This window comes from Homo sapiens, chromosome 10 (genome assembly GCF_000001405.40).
Source record: "Homo sapiens chromosome 10, GRCh38.p14 Primary Assembly".
Classification (NCBI taxonomy): domain Eukaryota; kingdom Metazoa; phylum Chordata; class Mammalia; order Primates; family Hominidae; genus Homo; species Homo sapiens.
Genome location: NC_000010.11, coordinates 96,754,514 through 96,774,911, shown reverse-complemented (window position 1 = coordinate 96,774,911; position 20,398 = coordinate 96,754,514). Strand labels below are relative to the sequence as shown.

The 20,398-nt window shown below is 42.6% G+C and overlaps 1 annotated feature.

Moving 5' to 3' along the window:
* Positions 8,937–9,026: a silencer, noted in NCBI's record as "silent region_2660". NCBI's record gives its function as "represses an Ori minimal core promoter by ATAC-STARR-seq in GM12878 lymphoblastoid cells {active_cell/tissue: GM12878}" and the evidence as "EXISTENCE:reporter gene assay evidence [ECO:0000049][PMID:35858748]".

Sequence of the window (20,398 nt, the reverse complement as noted above, 5' to 3'; positions counted from 1 at the left end):
CATTTATCCTTTGTTGATTAAATTTTCTTATCTGTATAATAAGAATAACAGGGTCTACCACATAGGATTGTTTTGATCAAAGAAGGTAATAAATCTGAACGTGCTTTACATCCTGATAATGGCAAATCACATGTAAAATTTTATAAGCTTCATCATCAGATAAACTAATTCACACCTGGGGCTTTGAGAGGTTAGGCTAAAGTGAACGTAATTTCTTTTTCATTTTTTAAGGATGGTAGTGGTAGAGAAAACAGGGCGTAGGCACTAGATTGGAGTTAGATTTCAATGCCTGTGGCATGTACCACATTGATAAACTGGTGGTTCCAGCAACCTAGTTTCTCATATTTAAATATGGCATCAGCATCCTCTTCTTTTAGAATGTAGCCTCCACTCCCTCCACACACGTCCCCAGCACCCTTGACAACCACTAGCCCCACTAGCCTGTGTTCCAGGCCAAAGCTAAATTTTGAGCCTCTTTTGTCCCTGGATAAAACAGAATTTATGTCCATTTCATAGTTAGCCTAAGAGCTTTTCCCTTCCCTGTGATACAGTGTTTCTCAGTGTGTGATTCCCTAGCAGTTTAAGCATCACCTGGCACTTGTTAACAATGCAAATTATCATCATGTTGTGGACTTGTAAAAATTTTAAAAAAGTAAAATTTTTAAATAATTAAAGCAAAACAAACAAACAAATAAACAAAAACCACAAATTCTCAGACCCCAACCCAGACCTAAGGTAAAACCCCTAGCAGGTGGGGAGCGGGGAGGCAACAGTCTGTGTTTTAATGATCCCTCCAGGTGCTTCTGATGCAGGCTAAAATTTGAGAACCACTGCTGTAATATATACTGTTAACTCATATTTTTACTGCCAATGAACTAGCTAGTGGTAAATTAAATAGCTTTTAACATTTAATGAATGGCCCTTTCTAGAAACATTTCTAGAAACATTTTCTAGTTTGTAAGAAGATCAAATTGCATTTGAATTCTCTTTATATTTATTTATTTATTTATTTTTTGAGATGGAGTCTCGCTCTGTTGCCCAGGCTGGAGTGCAGTGGTGAAATCTTGGCTCACTGCAAGCTCCGCCTCCCAGGTTCACTCCATTCTCCTGCCTCAGCCTCCCGAGTAGCTGGCACTACAGGCACCTGCCACCACGTCTGGCTAATTTTTTGTATTTTTAGTAGAGACGGGGTTTCACCGTGTTAGCCAGGATGGTCTCAATCTCCTGACCTTATGATCTGCCCACCTCGGCCTCCCAAAGTGCTGGGATTACAGGCGTGAGCCACTGCACCTGGCCTATTTTATTTTATTTTTTTTGAGACGGAGTTTTGCTCTTGTTGCCTGGGGTGTAGTGCAATGGCACAATCTCGGCTCACTGCAATCTCTGCCTCCCGGGTTCAAGCAATTCTTCTGCCTCAGCCTTGCAAGTAACTGGGATTACAGGCATGCACCACCATGCCTGGCTAATTTTCTATATCTTTTTAGTAGAGATGGAGTTTCACCATGTTGGTCAGGCTGGTCTCAAACTCCTGACCTCAAGTGATCCGCTCGCCTTGGCCTCCCAAAGTTCTGGAATTACAGGCGTGACTCCACCACACCCAGCCACATTTGAATTCTATCTATTGAGTGGGTTATGAGTTTTTGGACACACTTGGCATTGAATTTTGCCATTAGATTATGAAGGCATTTGGGGAGTTACTCTGAATTTTAGTATAATGGAGTGCCATTTAGACAATCAAATTGGTAATTTACCTAATAATATCCAATTCTTAGGAACTTGAAGAATTAAAAAAAAGCCTCCAGAGTCACCTTCCTTATACTGAGGAAGGAATTTTTCATGGGAGACTGTGGTTTATGTTTTGCAAATCCGCACAATGAGCTTGTAGTAGAAGTGGCCATTGTGTTCAGACAAATAAGATAATCTACATGTGAATTAAAGGTAAGCACCAATTTTCAAGTTCAATAGTGCCCTTTTCACCTGTTTGCTATTACCTGGGGCATCATTTGTTCATTTACCCAACAGAGTAAGCCAGATGGTAGCACCAAACTTCTGGCTGGGGTGGGTTGTTATGCAACAATAGATAACTGATATTGTGACCACGTGGCTGCCTGGGGCACTCCAGCTTTGGAGCTTAGCTGGGAGGGAATGGAAATCAGCAAGGGAGGTGACCTATTCTTGAATAGACCATGGTAGTTGTACTAGGAATGTAATCACCCAGTGGATTCTTCCTGCCTGTTGCACAGACCAAATCAATTCACCAACACCATAGCATTGCAGTAGAGAACGAGTTTGATTGAAGTGAGGCCTGCCCACATGGGAGAGTTGAGTTATCACTCAAACCAGTATCCCTGAAGTCTCAGAGGTTAGGGTTTTTATGGCAAATTTGGTGGGCAGGGGACTAGAGAATGGGTGCTGCTGATTGGTTGGGGGGTGAAATCACAAGGATGTGGAAAATGCTCCACATCCATTGAGTCACAGGATCAGTTGAGTCATTAGTTACAAGTCTGGGTGGGGTTGTCTGAAAGATATCTCAAAAATCCAATCTTAGGTTCTACAATAGTGATGGTATCTATAGGAGCAAATGGGGAAGTTGCAAATCTTGTGACCTCTGGCCACATGACCCCTGAGTGGAAAGGGATTATAGAAACTATGCCTATCTTATTAGAATTCAGGTCCCTCCCATAATCCCAACCTTGTGGTCTTTTATTAGTTTTATAAAGGAGGTTTAGTTTTGGGAAGGGCTATTATCATCTTTGTTTTAAGGTAAAACTATAAACTAAATTCTTCCCAAAGTTAGCTTGACCTATATACAGGAATGACCAAGGGCAGCTTGGAGGTCAGAAGCAAGATGGAGTCAACTATGGCAGATTTCTCTTACTGTCATAATTTTTGCAAAGGCAGTTTCATGAGCTAGGGTACATTAGAAAATATCTGTAGTGGTGCCTATAAATTGGGTTCTTGAGTTCTTGGGGAGTATAGAAGCCTCCCAAAATGATGGAGGGTGAACTTCTATCAATCCTTGTAGGGAGTGAATTAAGTTTAATTTGATTTAGAAAAATAAAGAAATGTGATATTTCTTGTATCCAATTGTTATGAAGCAAGTCCAAACAAACTTACGTAAATCTGTTTGTATACACAATGTTTATATTAAGCATGCTTCTTAATTTCCTTTTTTATTGCTGCAAAACTTGGGAAACAGTATTTTATTTTATTTTTTTGAGATGGAGTCTCACTCTGTTGCCCAGGTTGGAGTGGAGTGGTGTGATCTTGGCTCGTTGCAACCTCTACCTCCTGGGTTCAAGCAATTCCTGCCTCAGCCTCCCAAGTAGCTGGGACTATAGGCATGTGCCACCACACCTGGCTACTTTTTGTATTTTTTTTTTTTTTTAGTAGAGATGGGGTTTCACCATATTGGCCAGGCTGGTCTCAAACTCCTGACCTCAAGTGATCCACTTGCTTTGGCCTCCCAAAGTGCTGGATTATAGGCATGAGCCACTGTACCCAACCAGGAAACAGTCTTTTTAAGCAGTGCTGGCTTACAAACTGCAGAAACCTTTTCAGTTTACACTTGTGTGGCAAAAATAACAGTTTTCATGGGAACCACTTCTCTTCATCTCTTTCTTTATTACACAAAAAGTTTTTTTTTTTAATTTGCATACAGTGAGATTGAAACTGCCTTTGCAAAAATTAAGATAGTGAGAGAAATGCAACACTGACTCCATCTTGCTTCTAACGTCACAAACTGTCATTGTTCATTCTTGGGGGTAGGCCAAACTGACTATGGTAGGGATTTAGCTTATACTTTAACTTTAAAACAAAGATGACAACAAGTGCTTCCCAAAATTAATGCACTCCTTGCTCAGGGATTGAAACCTCCTTTGTAAAACTAACAAGGTTAGAATTATGGTTCAGGAGTCATGTAGCTGGAGGTCACAAGGTTTGTAGCCTCCCCAGTTGCTCCTATAGACAACAGCACTATTGCAAAATATCAGATTGGTGTTTGAGGTATTTTTCAGACCTTACGTTCTGATGGACCAGCTGGCTCCACTTAGACCAGTAACCCATACCAAGAAACTAGCTCAGTTGGTCTTGTGACCCCCACCCAGGAACTGACTCAACACAAGAAGACAGCTTCATCCCCTATGATTTCATCGCTGACCCAATCAATCAGCACTCCTCATTCTCTAGCCCCCTGCCCACTGAGCTATCCATGAAAAACCCTACCCTCCAAATTCTTGATGAGGTGGATTTGAGAATTATCTCTCATCCTCCAGCTTGGCTAGCCCCACAATAAGCACACTCTTTCTTTCTTTCTTTTTTCTTTTTTCTTTTTTTTTTTTTTGAGAGGGACTCTTGCTCTGTTGCCCAGCCTGGAGTACAGTGGCACAATCTTGGCTCACTGCAACTGGGTTGCCTCCTGGGTTCAAATGATTCTCTTGCCTCAGCCTCCCGAGTAGCTGGGATTACAGGCACCCGCCACCACATCCAGCTAATTTTTTTGTATTTTTGGTAGAGATGGGGTTTCACCATGTTGGCCAGACTGATCTCTAACTTCTGACTTCAGGTTATACGCCTGCCTTGACCTCCCAAAGTGCTACTTGGGAGGCTGAGGTGGGCGGATCACTTGAACCCCGGAGGCGGAGGTTGCAGGGAGCTAAGATTGGGCCACTGCACTCCAGTCGGGGCAACAGAGTGAAACTCTATCTCAAACAACAACAAAACGGAAACTTATTGGCTGGGTGCAGTGGCTCACACCTATAATCCCAGCATACTGGGGAGGCCAAGGTAGATAGATCAATGAGCCCAGGAGTTTGAGACCAACATGGTGAAACCTTGTCTCTACAATAAATATAAAAATTAGCTGGGCATGGTAGTATGAACCTGTAGTCTCAGCTACTTAGGAGACTGAGGTGGGAGGATCACCTGAGCCCCAGGAGGTCAAGGTGGCAGTAAGCCATGAACGTGCCACTGCACTCCAGTCTGGAGGGCATGAAAAAAAAAAAAGAAATGGAAACATATTAATCCCAAACCAGTGTCAATAAGTTGGGGAAGAAGAGGAGCCATTGAAAAAGATTTTTTTTATTGTTTTATTTATTATTTTTTTTTGAGACAGAGTCTCTCTCTGTTACCTGGGTTGGAGTGCAGTGGTGTGATCTTGGCTCACTGTGACCTTTGCCTCCCGGGTTCAAGTGATTCTCCTTCCTCAGCTTCCCGAGTAGCTGGGATTACAGGCGCATGCTACCATGCCCAGCTTATTATTATTATTATTATTTGTATTTTTAGTAGAGACAAGGTTTCACCATGTTGGCCAGGGTGGTCTTGAACTCCTGAGCTCAAGCAATCTGCCTGCTTTAGCCTCCCAAAGTGCTGGGATTACAGGCGTGAGCTACCTTGCCTGGCCCCTAGTCTTAACTTGTAATAGATACACAATAATTATTTTTAAATTAATTTTTTACAGTAATTATTAAATGAATGAATGAATAAACAAACACTTGAGGCACAGTCTGATGTATTAGAAAGAACGCAGGCTTGGAGTTGTATTAGCCTGTGTTGAATCTTGGCTTTTTGGTGTGTGGCCTTGGGTAAGCTACTTGACTTCAGTATCCATCCCAAAAATGGATTCATGGTTCCTCTCTCTTAGAATCATTAAATAAATGAAATGAAATTAAATTAATTAAATTAAATGGAACAATGCATATGCATACTTATGTCAAAGCTGGCATTCTTTTTCCTATGGGTGAGCATGTAAGGTAGCTCATATTAAGCCTAACTTCTACTATAAAAGGGGAAACCCCAAAATAGGACTCATAAAACCAATGCCAGAGACTAGAGCATAAATTCTATATTATTCTTTGGGGTGACTTCTGTTCCTCTGTGCTGCATTCTGGGAATTTTCTTCTGACCCCTGCTCCATTCACTGATTGATTTGACTGTAGCTAATAAAGTATAAACCCATCTGTTGAGGGTTTTTGTTTTGTTTTTTTGTTTTCTGAGACTGAGTCTCACTCTGCTTCCCAGGCTAGAGGGCAGTGGTGTGATCTCTGCAGACTGCAACCTCCGTCCCCTGGGTTCAAGCAGTTCTACTGCCTCAGCCTCCCAAGTAGCTGAGATTACAGGTACGCACTACCACACCTGGCTAATTTTTATAGTTTTAGTAGAGATGGGGTTTCACCATGTTGGCCAGGCTGGTCTGTAACTCCTGGCCTCAAGTGATTCACCCGCCTAGGCCTCCCAACCATCTGTTGAGTTTTAGGTTTTTATTATTATACTCATGTAATGTAGTAAATTACACATAATATGAAATGTATTTTTTTCTGAAAACATGTCAGTTTCATATAAAACTTATTTTAAAACCTTTAAAAGTGTATAGTTCTGTAGCATAAATATATTCACATTGTTGTGCAACCATCACATCCATCTATCTGCAGAACATTTCATTTTCCCAAGCTGAAACCCGGTACCCATTAAACCAGGGTACAGAGACCTGTATCAGTCCGTGGTCTGTTAGGAACCGCGTCACACAGCAGGAGGTGAGTGACGAGTGAGGGAGCAAACCTTCATCTGTATTTACAGCCGCTCCCAGTCATTTGCGTTACCACGTGAGCTCCGCCTCCTGTCAGATCAGCAGCGGTATTACATTCTCATAGAAGCATGAATTCTACTGTGAACTGCACATATGAGGGATCTAGGTTGCCCACTGTTGATGAGAATCTAATGCCTGATGATCTGTCACTGTCTCCCATCACCTCCGGATGGGACTGCCTAGTTGCAGGGAAACAAGCTCAGGGCTCCGAAGGATTCTACATTATGGTGAGTTGTATAATGATTTCATTATGTATTAGAATGTAATCATAACAGAAATAAAGTGCACAGTAAATGTAAGGCCCTTGAATCATCCCAAAAATATCTTCCCCTCCCATACCTGTCCATGGAAAAATTGTCTTCCACAAAACCAGTCCCTGGTGCCAAAAAGATTGAGGACTGCTGCATTAAACAATAACTCCTGATTCTCTTCCCCCAACCCCAGTCCTTAGTAACCATTGTTGCACTTCCTGTCTCTGTGAATTTTATTACTCTAGTTACCTCATATAAGTGGAATCATGCAATGTTTGTCCTTTTGCATCTGGCTTACTTCACCTAGCGTATCTCATCCATGGTTCATCCATGTTGTAGCATGTGTCAGAATGTCCTTCCTTTTAAAGGCTGACTCATATTACATTGTATGTATATCACGCATTTTGTTTATCCATTCATCAGTTGATGAACATTTGAGTATGTATATCACACTGTATATATATCTGTATGTATATCACACATTTTGTTTGTTCATCCATCAGTTGATGAACATTTCAGTTGTTTTCACCTTTCGGCTATTGTGAATAATACTGCTATGAACATGGGTGTATAAATATCTGTTCAAATCTTTGCTCTTAATTCTTTAGTATGTATATCCAGAAGTAGAATTGCTGGATCATGTGGTAATTTTGTTTAAATTTTTGAGGAACCACTATAGTGTTTTTTTGTTTTGTTTTGTTTTGTTTTGTTTTGTTTTTTGAGATAGAGTCTTGCTCTGTCGCCCAGACTGGAGTGCAGTGGCCTGATCTCTGCTTACTGCAAGCTCTGCCTCGCGGGTTCACACCATTCTCCTGCCTCAGCCTCCCAAGTAGCTGGGACTACAGGCACCCACCACCAAGCCTGCTAATTTTTTGTATTTTTTAGTACAGACGGGGTTTCACCATGTTTGCCAGGATGGCGTCAATCTCCTGACCTCGTGATCCGCCCGCCTCGGCCTCCCAAAGTGCTGGGATTACAGGTGTGAGCCACCACGCCCGGCCTTTTTTTTTTTTTTTTTTTTTTTTTGAGACGGGAGTCTCGCTCTGTCCGCCAGGCTGGAGTGCAGTGGCGCCATCTCGGCTCACTGCAAGCTCCGCCTTCCAGGTTCACGCCATTCTCCTGCCTCAGCCTCCCGAGTAGCTGGGACTACAGGCGCCGGCCACCACGCCCGGCTAATTTTTTGTATTTTTAGCAGAGACAGGGTTTCACTGTGTTAGCCAGGATGGTCTCAATCTTCTGACCTCGTGATCCGCCTTTCTCGGCCTCTGAAAGTGCTGCGATTATAGGCGTGAGCCACGGCGCCCGGCCTTTGGCCTCATAATTCTTTATTTCCTTCCTAGGTCTCTTATTACTTTTAATATTTACCCAACCTTTTTGAGTCATCCATAATGAATGTATAGTTCATTTGATTTGATTTGATTTATTTTTTTGAGATGGAGTCTCGCTCTGTCACCCAGACTGGAGTTCAGTGGTGTGATCTTGTCCCACTGCAGCCTCCACCTCCTGGGTTCTAGTGATTCTCCTGCCTTAGCCTCCCAGGTAGCTGGGAGTACAAGCACGTGCCACCACACTTGGCTAATTTTTGTATTTCTAGTAGAGACGGAGTTTCACCATGTTGACCAGGCTGGTCTCAAACTCCTGACTTCAGGGGATCTGCCCGCCTCGGACTCCCAAAGTGCTAGGATTGCAGGAGTGAGCCACTGCGTCTGGCCATGAATGTATAGTTCAAATACCTAGTCCACTGACCTTGCCTTTTAAAACAGTTGTGTCTGGGCTCAGTGGCTCAGGCCTGTAATCTCAGCACTTTGGGAGGCCAAAGCAGGAGGATTGCTTGAGTACAGGAGTTCGAGACCAGCCTGGGCAACATAGTGAGACCCTGTTTCTTCGAAAAATAAAAAAAATTAGCCAGGCGTGGTGATGCCTGCCTGTAATCTTAGTCCTTTGGGAGGCTGAGGCAGGAGGATCACCTGGGCCTGGAAGGTTGAGGCTGCAGTGAGCTATGACTGTGCCACTGCACTCCAGCCTGGGCAACAGAGAGATCCTGTTTCAAAAAAAAAATTAGTCCTCAATTCATTAGGAGTGTGGTTTACATGAATCGCCAGTAAAAGGAACATAGGGCTTGAATAGGCACTTATCTTTACCTGTATCTCACTGCCAGGGTGAAATCTAAAGCATTTATCACTAGTCCGGCTGAGGCACCTTCAGAACAGATGTTGGTGTAGGGTTGGAGCCCCCTGCTGGCAGCCTCCTGCTGTGCGTGACATTACTCCTTTGGGGGAGTCTCAAACGGGGACCCAGGAAGTTACAGGGAAGGGATGATAAAGGCCACTTGGAAGAACTGGGCAGTGACTGTTGATTAACAGTACGTAAAAGTAAGTAAAGGTGTTTCCATTTTAATGCAGCACATGCTGTCTTATTCCCCTGGGAAGACAAGCCTGGTACAAGGAACTGTGTGTGTAGTTTACTGTGGACAGTGGTGATACCAGGGAGCAGGGGTGGAGACTAAGGAAACTGACCAGGGAAGAAGGAAAACCAAGCCAGTCACATTGGTGACTGCAGTGGGCACGGGGGCTTCCATCCCAACAGCAACTTCTGAGGAGTTGTATACAGATAGTGCCTCAAACTGACCACCCAATGGATGAAAGGCAGAAGTTGTAAGTGTTCCCCCATGAACTCCCATCTAGCATTGACAGAGGGTCATCTTGAAGGTTGTAACGCCCTTGCGCTTGTAGGTTTCACATCAGCGAGTGCCGGGGTGCTCCCGCAGGCACGTCGCACCACAGCATCGGAGAACCTTGCGGGGTCAGGGGAAGATGTACAGCGCATGCTTGAGGTGAGGCAGGGCCACAGGAGGTGAGTTGAAGCCTGCATAGAATTGTGTCCTCAAATAATAGCAGGAATCGAGGTGTGGCCAAGAGGATCCAAGGCAGTGCGTGGAGCACCCAACACTTAGGCATTCCTCAAGAACCTTGTGTTCGGCAAAATCAAGCAGTAAGAGTAATAGGGCTTATGGGGAAAATAGGGTTAGAGGCAGATCACTCGTAATCTGTGGAAATCTGTAACCAGAATGCTAATAAAAATAGTGGTTTGCACATAAGGAGATAACTTGGACTGCCCAGACTGCCTCAGTGTGGCTGGAGACTGTCACAGTAGATATTTAAAATGTTCAATGTGATAGAGTGGGAACATGCTGGCAACACTTTAATTAGAGCTGGTCTGGCAAGTGTTGAAAGAGTGCAGATGGTGGTGGGCTCTGAGTGCTAGTCAGGTGGATCCAGGAAGCAGTGCAACCTGGCTGAGAGCTGGGGAAAAGGGCCCTGGGTGTGTGTGCTCATTGCCATTTTCCTAAAATACAGCTGAAAGGGCTCATGCAATTAGTGTAGCAGCTGAGCTGAGCGCTTCTTCCTTCCCTGATGATGGCTATAATTTTACTTCTGCAGTGAGCTGATTCCCATAACAGAAATGTGCATTCTAGCAGAACAAATGTCTTTCTGGGTCTCACTGTATGGTGAGACTGTGGTGCATACTGATTAAGTATTGGCCCATTTCACTGCTCCCGTGGGCTTGGCTTGCTCCATGCTGATACCGCACTTCCTCATTTCAGCCCTCAGACTCTGAGCCATTGCCCACCAGGTTTCCAGATGCAGTACCCTCTGTAGCTCCTCACCTGCCATTTCGAATCCTGTTTATTGACAGGTGTTAATGTGGACAGCCTATTTATTAATGAACTTCTCCGGCTTAATTTATAAGCCTTTCTCCTCCCATGAGAATGTTCCCCATTTCCCTCATAACTGCCCCCATGAGAATCCCTGATGAGTGAGCTCTGGTGCTTGGACTCCATCTCCCTCTCTTGCTTCAGATGTACCCATTATACATCAAAATGAGCTGCATAGGAGGCCAGCTGCCTCCTGTAATCCCAGTGGCTCACACCTGTAATCCCAGCACTTTGGGAGGCTGAGGCGGGTGGATCACCTGAGGTCAGGAGTTTGAGACCAGCTTGGCCATCATGGCGAAACCCCGTCTCTACAGAAAATACAAAGATTAGCTGGGTGTGGTGGCGCATGAGAATCACTTGAACCTGGGAGGCGGAGGTTGCAGTGAGCCGAGATCATACCACTGCACTCCAGCCTGGGAGACAGAGAGACAGAGCCAGACTCCTAAAAAAAAAAAAAAAAAAAAAAAAAAAACAGAGCTGCATAGGGATGAAGGAGATGAAAAACAAAGCTACCAGTAAAAAAGCAAGTCAGTCATTTATCACAGCTATGGTAAACAATCATTTTTCTAATTATTGAACAAATAAAAGAATAACAGTAATAATACAATGATGTAACTACTTTTATGAGTTGCTATGTGCCAGGTGCACTTTATGCATTATCTCTTTTTTTTTTTTTTTTTTTTGAGACAGAGTCTCGCTCTGTTGCCCAGGCTGGAGTGCAGTGGCGCAGTCTCAGCTCACTGCAACCTCCTCCTCCCGGGTTCACGCCATTCTCCTGCCTCAGCCTCCTGAGTAGCTGGTATTACAGGCGCCCACCACCACGCCCAGCTAATTTTTTGTATTTTTAGTAGAGACGAGGTTTCACCATGTTAGCCAGGATGGTCTCAATCTCCTGACCTCGTGATCCACCCGCCTCAGCCTCCCAAAGTGCTGGGATTACAGGCGTGAGCCACCGCGCCCGGCCTGCATTATCTCATTTAATCCTTATAAGACATTGTGTGCTCAGTGCCATTATTAGTGATATCAGGTTTTTACAGATGGGAAGAAGGCTTAGAGAGGTTATGTAATTTGCTCAGTCACCCAGAGTGGCAGAGCAGGAATAAGAGTGTTAGAATTTGAATTCATACATTTCTAACTATTTTCTACTACCTTCTAGCATAAACCAATAAATAATACAGGAAAAATTGAGCTGCTAGGACATGGTAAAAAATAAGAGTATATACAAAATCTATAAATACGGAAAGGAAGAGATTAGAGGAAATAGCTGCAGCAGATATGATAAAGAATCAGCAAATGCTCTTATTAAATTTATGATTAAGAGTATCAAGAAGCTGGGCAGGCGCGGTGGCTCACACCTGTAATCCCAGCACTTTGGGAGGCTGAGGAGGGCAGATCACGAGGTCAGGAGATTGAGACCATCCTGGCTAACACGGTGAAACCCCATCTCTACTAAAAATACAAAAAACAAAATTAGCAGGGCATGGTGGCGGGTGCCTGTAGTCCCAGCTACTCAGGAGGCTGAGGCAGGAGACCCGGGAGGCGGAGCTTGCAGTGAGCCGAGATCGCACTACTGCACTCCAACCTGAGCGACAGAGTGAAACTCCATCTCAAAAAAAAAAAAAAAAAGTGTCAAGAAGCCAATTACAAACAGACAAGGACACAGACAATATACAGAAAAGAAAATACAAATTTAAGTAAGTGGTAAGCTTTTCAATAGTACTGGTAATCAAATACATGAAAATGGAAATACTAACAAGATGCAATTTTGCATCTACAAATTTGAAACACTTTTGAAAACTAAACACAAGTGAGGCTATGGAGAAATATTAGTTGCTAATGGCATTGTAAATTGGTAGAATTGTACTGTGTAAAATTTAACAATACATATTAAAGGCAATAAAAATGTAGCCCCTCTCCCTCCATTCTGCATATTCTTGGGGGTTTATTTTCAGAAAATATATATATTTTTAAATTTTTTGAGACAGAGTCTTGCTCTGTCGCCCAGGCTGGAGTGCAGTGACATGATCTCAGTTCACTGCAATCTCTGTCTCCCAGGTTCAAGGGATTCTCCTGCCTCAGCCTCCCGAGTAGCTGGGATTACAGGTGCCCACCACCACACCTGGCTAATTTTTGTGCTTTTAGTAGAGACGGGGCTTTACCATGTTGGCCAGGCTGGTCTCCAATTCCTGACCTCAAGTGATCTGCCCGCCTCGGCCTCCCAAAGTGCTGGGGTTATAGGCGTAAGCCACCGCGCCCAGCAGAACATAATTGATAGAAAGAGATTTTAGTTGTTTAAAAATATTTTACAACAAATTTTCCCCAACAAAAGTAGAAATATCTTAAATGCGCAACACTAGAGAAATGATTAAGTGAATTAAGTCACCTTTACAGGACTGAATTATACAATTTTTTTTTTTTGAGACAGAGTCTCACTTTTTTGCCCAGGCTGAAGTGCAGTGGCATGATCTTGGCTTGCTGCAACCTCCACCTCCCAGGTTCAAGCGATTCTCCTGCCTCAGCCTCCCAAGTAGCTGGGATTACAGGTGTGTGGCACCATGCCCAGCCAGAATTATACAATTTTACAAGATAAGATTCACAACGAGGAAACTACTTATGAAACAACACCAAATGAAAAAGAGTAGAGCACAAATATGTATGTACATAAACTGTGATTACAATTATGTGAGATTTATACATATGGAGCAGGGAGAAAAACGTGTTGTTCCTTTGAAAAGCTAGAGGCAGAAATCCTCAGAAAGTGAGCTCTCTTAATTGTGCTGAATACTTCAAAGACCCTCATGTTTGTAGCAGTCTAGAGTATTGTAGCAATCTGGCCTGGGTTAGAGTGAGATAAGTAACACAGCATTGCTCTTCAAAATAAAGACAGACACGTTTTTAATTTCCTGGAGCAAGCAGAGGTGGGCAGAAATGGGGAGAAGATGGTGGAGATGAAGGGTGAGATCAGAGAAAGAAAGGTGGGCAAAAGGACAGGAGGCTAGAGACTTCAAGAGAAGAGATGGCCCAAGAGAATGTTCTAAGAACACCATGAGTCAGAAGTGCAAGAGAGAGCCTTGGGAGAGAGAGGGGGGGAAACAAAATCAAACAAAACAAATATCCCTAGAGAGCTGGAGAATTTAGGATCACCAGGAGGCCGACCTTTGGGTTATAGAGATAAAGACTGGAAGATAAGATTTCAAAAACTAAAAATAGCTACTATATTAGAGTAGTGGAATATAATTGAAAGTTGAAAATTTAATGTACATTTATTTTTTAATTTATTCCTGGGAAAATACCATACTCCTTTTTTTTTTTTTTTTTACTTGAGATGGAGTCTCACTCTGTCACTCAGGCTGGACTGCAGTGGTGCCATCTCGGCTTACTGCAACCTCTGCCTCCTGGGTTCAAACAATTCTCCTGCCTCAGCCTCTCGAGTAGCTGGAATTACAGGCATGCGCCACCATGCCCAGTTAATTTTTGTATTTTTAGTAGAGACGGGGTTTTGCCATGTCGGCCAGGCTGGTCTTTAACTCCTGGCCTCAAGTGATCTACCCACCTTGGCCTCCCATAGTGCTGGGATTACAGGTGTTAGCCACCATGCCTGGCCTGAATACATTATGATATAACTATACAATGAAATATTAGGCAGCTATTAAGCCAGATTTGTTCTCTATTTACTTAGAGGGACACATGAAATAAGCAAAGTGAAGAATATTGTGTATAGTCCGTGTGGCAGAGATTGCCAAATATCCCCCCAAGAGTCATTCTGTTTTTCTTTGGTAATAGAACCTCCAAATTTTAACCAGGCACATGACTAATCAGCTAAAGACTCTGTTTCCAAGCCTCCCTGGCAATTAGTTGTGTATATGGTTCTAAATTATGGCCAAGGGGAAATGACTAAAAATTATCTGTGTACCATTGAGATTTCGTTTTTGTTGTTGTGGTGGTGGTGGTGGTGGTGGAGTTTTTTTTTTCTTTTTTTTTTAAGTTCTGGAATACAATTTGCAGGACGTGCAGGTTTGTTGCATAGGTATACGTGTGCCATGGTGGTTTGCTAGACCTATCAACCTGTCATCTAGGTTTTAAGCCCCGCATGCATTAGGTATTTGTCCTAATGCTCTCCCTCCGCTTGCCCCCAACCCTCTGACAGGCCCCAGTGTGTGATGTTTCCCTCCCTGTGTCCATGTGTTCTCATTGTTCAACTCCCACTTATGAGTGAGAACATGTGGTGTTTGATTTTCTGTTCCTGTGTTAATTTGCTGAGAATGATGGCTTCCAGCTTCATCCATGTCCCTGCAAAGGACATGAACTAATTCTTTTTTATGGCTGTGTAGTATTCCATGGTGTATATGTGCCATATTTTCTTTAGCCAGTCTATCATTGATGGGCATTTGGGTTGATTCCAAGTCTTTGCTATTGTGAATAACGCTGCGATAAACATACGTGTGCATGTGTCTTTATAGTAGAATGATTTATAATCCTTTGGGTATATAACCAATAATGGGATTGCTGGGTCAAATGGTATTTCTGGTTCTATATCCTTGAGGAATAGCCACACTGTTTTCCACAATGGTTGAACTAATTTACACTTACACCAACAGTGTAAAAGCGCTTGTATTTCTCCACAGCCTCGTCAGCATCTATTGTTTCCTGACTTTTTTATAATCACCATTCTAACTGGATGAGACAGTATCTCATTGTGGTTTTGATTTGCATTTCTCTAATGACCAGTGATGATGAGCTTTTCTTCATATGTTTGTTGGCTGAGATTCCATTTTTAAAGAAAAGTAATGTTTCCCCTGCCCCCTTCCTTTTCCCTTCCTGTTGACTGGAATACAGACATGGTGTAAACCATCCTGGAGAATGTGGCTAAGGCAACCCCTGAAGAATGATGAGGCTGTAGTATGGAAGAATCTTGGATCCAAGATGACCTCAGAGAGCTTAGAACCATCTCACTAGTTTTGGGTCACCTTTCTCAGGATGTTTTGGGTGAGAGAGGTCAACTTCCATCTTGTTTAAGTCATAAATATGTTGATCTATTTCAGCAGCAGAATCTCAATCCTAACACAAAGCAATCTATTTTTGGCATATAAAAGAAATAGTAAGGCCAGGCGCGGTGGCTCATGCCTGTAATCCCAGTACTTTGGGAGGCCGGGACGGGCGGATCATGAGATCAGGAGATTGAGACCATCCTGGCTAACACAGTGAAACCCCATCTCTACTAAAAATACAAAAAAATTAGCCAGGCGTGGTGGCAGGTGCTTGTAGTCCCAGCTACTTGGGAGGCTGAGGCAGGAGAATGGTGTGAACGCAGGAGGCAGAGCTTGCAGTGAGCCAGGATCGCGCCACTGCACTCCAGCCTGGGCGACAGAGCGAGACTCTATCTCAGAAAAAAAAAAGAAAAAGAAAAGAAATAGTAAAACCCTTGGATATATGTGTATATGGAACTTAGAAAAGGTGTGGAAATACACATGCCAACTTGTTAACTTTGGTTTCCCAGCCGGTGGGTTGGAATGGAGTTGGGGATAATGAACTTTATCTCCATGGGAGGGTATGATATTCTCTCAACTGTGTTCTAGGCTGGCATTTTATGTTGCAAGGAAGGGACTCATTAATGGAGTTTAGTGTACAGATTCAAAGAGGTCACAGAAGCTCTAAAATCAGGAACCCAAGAACAGCTGGGTTCAGGGGAACAGGAAAGTAGTCAGGAACTATGGCTCATCTCTGCTTCTCACGGTGGCTTCCTGCTTGTGGCACAGCTGCTACTTGCCCATGGCCAGAAATAGTTGCTTCTTGATAATGTCTAGATCAGTGGTTTTCTAAGTGTGGCACTCTGGCCAGCAGCATCAGAATCATCTGAGAGCACACTAGAAAAGCATATTCTTGGGCCCTACCCTGAATCCACTGAATCAGAAACTCTGTGGGTCCCAGCAATCTATATTTTAACCAGCTCCTCTGGTGATTCTCATGAGCATTAAAGTTAGAGAACAACTGGTGTAGATGATATTCCAGCTCTAATACCTATACTTAATTGGCAATAAGATTTTTTAATTTAAGAGAGAGAGAGAGACAGAGTCTTTAATAGGCTCAATTTACCTTATTTTCACCAGGCTACAGAAATTATAGGTCACTTGTTGGCTGATGGATTTATTGGATCAGGTGTCCATCCCTATTCCAATCAATCTTTGCAAGGAGACCAGATCACAATTTATTTAACTCTTTCCTTGTGGCTATACATTTGCAGAATATCATTTTTTTTGCCATTGTACACACAACACACACACACACGTTCATAAAATCAAAAAGAGTGCAGATCAAAACATCACATTGTACCCCGTAAATATATAATGTATACAATTATTTTATTTTTATTTTCATTTTTACATTTTTTTTTTTTTTGGTCGCCCAGGCTGGATGGAGTGCAGTGGTGCAATCTTGGCTCACTGCAACCTCCGCCTCCTGGGTTCAAGCAATTCTCATGCCTCGGCCTCCATAGTAGCTGGGATTACAGAAGCACATGCCACCATGCTCATCTAAATTTCTTTTTGTATTTTTTTTAGTACAGATGGAGTTTCACCATGTTGGTCAGGCTGGTCTCGAACTCCTGACATCAAGTGATCTGCCCGCCTCAGCCTCCCGCTGGGATTACAGGCGTGAGCCACCACGCTCAGCGATTTTTACAACTTTTAAATGCTAAAAAAGAATGCACAATTTTATGGCCTTTATGTCATTTTTACTTCCATCAGCAGCGTGAGACTGTATCAGCACAGTATCATCAAATATTATAATTAAATTATTCTTGCTTTTTGGCTAATTTAACAACACCACTTTCCAAACAAAAACAAGTCATACCTTTATTTAAAAAAAAAAAAAAAAATGGCGCACCAGGCGTGGTGGCTCATGCCTGTAATCCCAGAACTTTGGGAGGCTGAGGCGGACGGATCACCTGAGGTCGGGAGTTCGAGACCAGCCTGACCAACATGAAGAAACCCTGTCTCTACTAAAAATACAAAATTAGCCGGGCGTGGTGGCACATGCCTGTAATCCCAGCTACTCGGGAGACTGAGGCAAGAGAATCGCTTGAACCTGGGAGGCGGAGATTGCAGTGAGTCGAGATCGTGCCACTGCACTCCAGCCTGGGCAATAAGAGCAAAACTCCATCTCAAAAAAAGAAAAAGTGGAGGGTTGAGAATATGCGGCAAGAGTCAAAACAGAGGCTTAAAGGGTCAGTGTCAGAGAGACACTGCCCGTGTTGTAATAGGCAAGTCATGGGGATGCAGAGAGGAAGGAGGAAGGGCTTATGGAGTGTTGTGGGCAGGGGTCATGGTAAGGGACTTGGGAAGAGGGCAAGGCATGGGCTGGGAGTCAGGGAAAGCTGAAAAGGTACTGGAAGATGTCACTCTTATCCTCTCATCAGAGCCACTTAATAGGTCTGATAAAAGGTGTCTCAAGAATCATGAGACATCTGGTAGCTCATGGGTTAAAAAGTTCACATATGTATGCATTATGGACTTAGAACTTGCTTGTGAAAAAAAAAAGAATTGGAAGAAGTGTATTTTTACATATTTTCAACAATTTTTTTTTTTTTTTGACAGTGTTTGGCTCTGTCGCCTAGGCTGGAGTGCAGTGATGCAATCACAGCTCACTGCAGCCTCCACCTCCTGGGCCCAGGTGATTCTTCCACCCCAGCCTCCTGAGTAGCTGGGAGTACAGGCACATGCCACCACGCCTGACTAATTTTTGTATTTTTTGTGTGTGTATGTGAAGACAGGGTTTCACCATGTTGCCCAGCCTGGTCTTGAACTCCTGGGCTCAAGTGATCCGTCCGCCTCAGCCTCCTAGAGTGCTAGGATTACAGGCATGAGCCACTGAGCCCAGCCATTCAATAACTATTTTTTTTTCCAGAAAAAATATGGGTCATAAAGGTGCGGGGAAAGGAAGAATAAATGGGAGATAATTTTGACCTCCTATAGATAATGAGGTTATTATATTTGGGCACTAACTGAGCTCTGTGAAAGAGAAAGGGAAACCAGGTCTATTTGCTGAAGCAAGTAAGGGCCCAGAATCTAAAGCTTCATGTAGGTTAATACAGTAGTGCCAGGATTCAGAATGCAGCTGCTGTAATTTGCATTTCTTGATTACTATCAATTATGGGCCTTTTAATATTTTTCTGTTTACTATTAATTCTCCTAATGCAAATTGTCTGTTCTTTTGTGCATTTATCCACTGGGTTCTTTTCTTCTTCTTCTTCTTTTTAATAGCTAGAATAAGATCTTTCTATGAACTCTTTTTTTCCCTACTAATCCTTTGTCATATCTGTGATGAATGTACTTTTTTTTAAGACAGGGTCTCACTTCGTCACCCAGGCTGGAGTGCAGTGGCACAATCATGGCTCTCTGGAGCCTCGACCTCCTGGTTTCAAGTGATTCTCCCACCTCAAGCCCCCAGATAGTTGGGACCACAGGTCTGTGACACCATGCCTGGCTAATTTTGAAATTTTTTTGTAGAGTCTGGATTTTGCTATGTTGCCCAGGCTGGTCTTGAACTCCTGAACTCAAAAGATCAGCCCTCCTCAGCCTCCCAAAGTGGTGGGATTACAGACATTAGCCCCTGTGCTTCCCCTATTTTTTAAATCTGATGTCTTCTTATCTTAATTTTGCTTAATTTTTAAGGTGTAGAAATGAAAAATTTTGCATATTTGAATGTCTGGCTTTAGTGATACTTTCTGAGTTGAGAAATTTACCAATCCTTCACAGATTTGATAAATAATCCATTCTCATTTCTTTTCGATTTTATTTAATGTGACTTTTATATTGAATACTTCAAACCATCTGGAGTTTCTTTTTGCAGTATGTTGTTAAGATAGAAATCTGATTTAATTTCTTCCCCAAATTACTATCCAATTATTCCAGCACCATTCAAAGAAAATGCCCTCACCTCAGGGTTTTTAAAAGCTTACAGTATCATATAATGAATTTATATTTAGTGGTGTCTATTTCTGGATTCTCCATTTTGTCCACCACTGTGTGTTGCTTTTCTTTTCCTTTTTTTTTTTTTTTTTTTTTTTGCCATTGCTACATTGTATTCCCTCCCACTTTTGTTAGATAACCGCATATTTAGAAGAGAAATTATCCAGGGCACTCACGGCAGAATCCTATTGTGATATTGTGATAGTTCTGGTTTTTTTTTTTTTTTTTGGACATCTGTTAATATATAACAAATCCATATGATAACATGTACATTTAACAGATAAAAGTACTACTTGTTTATTAGTATAAAAGTTATATATGCTCTTCACAAAGTTTTTGTTAATGACTTTATTATTGAGATATGATTCACATAGCATACAACTGACCCATTTAAAGTGTATAATTCAATAGCTTTTAGTATATTCACAGAGATGTGTAATCGTCACCACAATAAGTTCCAGAATATTCTCATTACCCCAAAAAGAACCTTTGCACCCTTTAGCCATCATCCCCTAATGCCCTCATTTCCTTGGTCTTGGGCAACCACGAATCTGCTTTCTACTTTCTGTCCATAGATTTGCCTATTTTGGACATTTCATAAAAACGGATTCATAAATTGTGGTCCTTTGTGACTAGCTTCTTTCACCTAGCATAATGTTTGCAAGGTTCATCCATGTTCAGTTCAGCATGTGTTAGTATTTCATTTTTTAAAGAAAAGATAGAAATGAAATCTTGCTATGTTGTCCAGGCTGGTCTTGAACTCCCGGCTTCAAGCGATCCTCCCACTTTGGCCTCCCAAAGTGCTGGGATTACAGGTGTGAGCCACAGTGTCTGGGCATCATTTCTTTTTATTGCCAAATAATATTCTGTCATATGGAAGTAC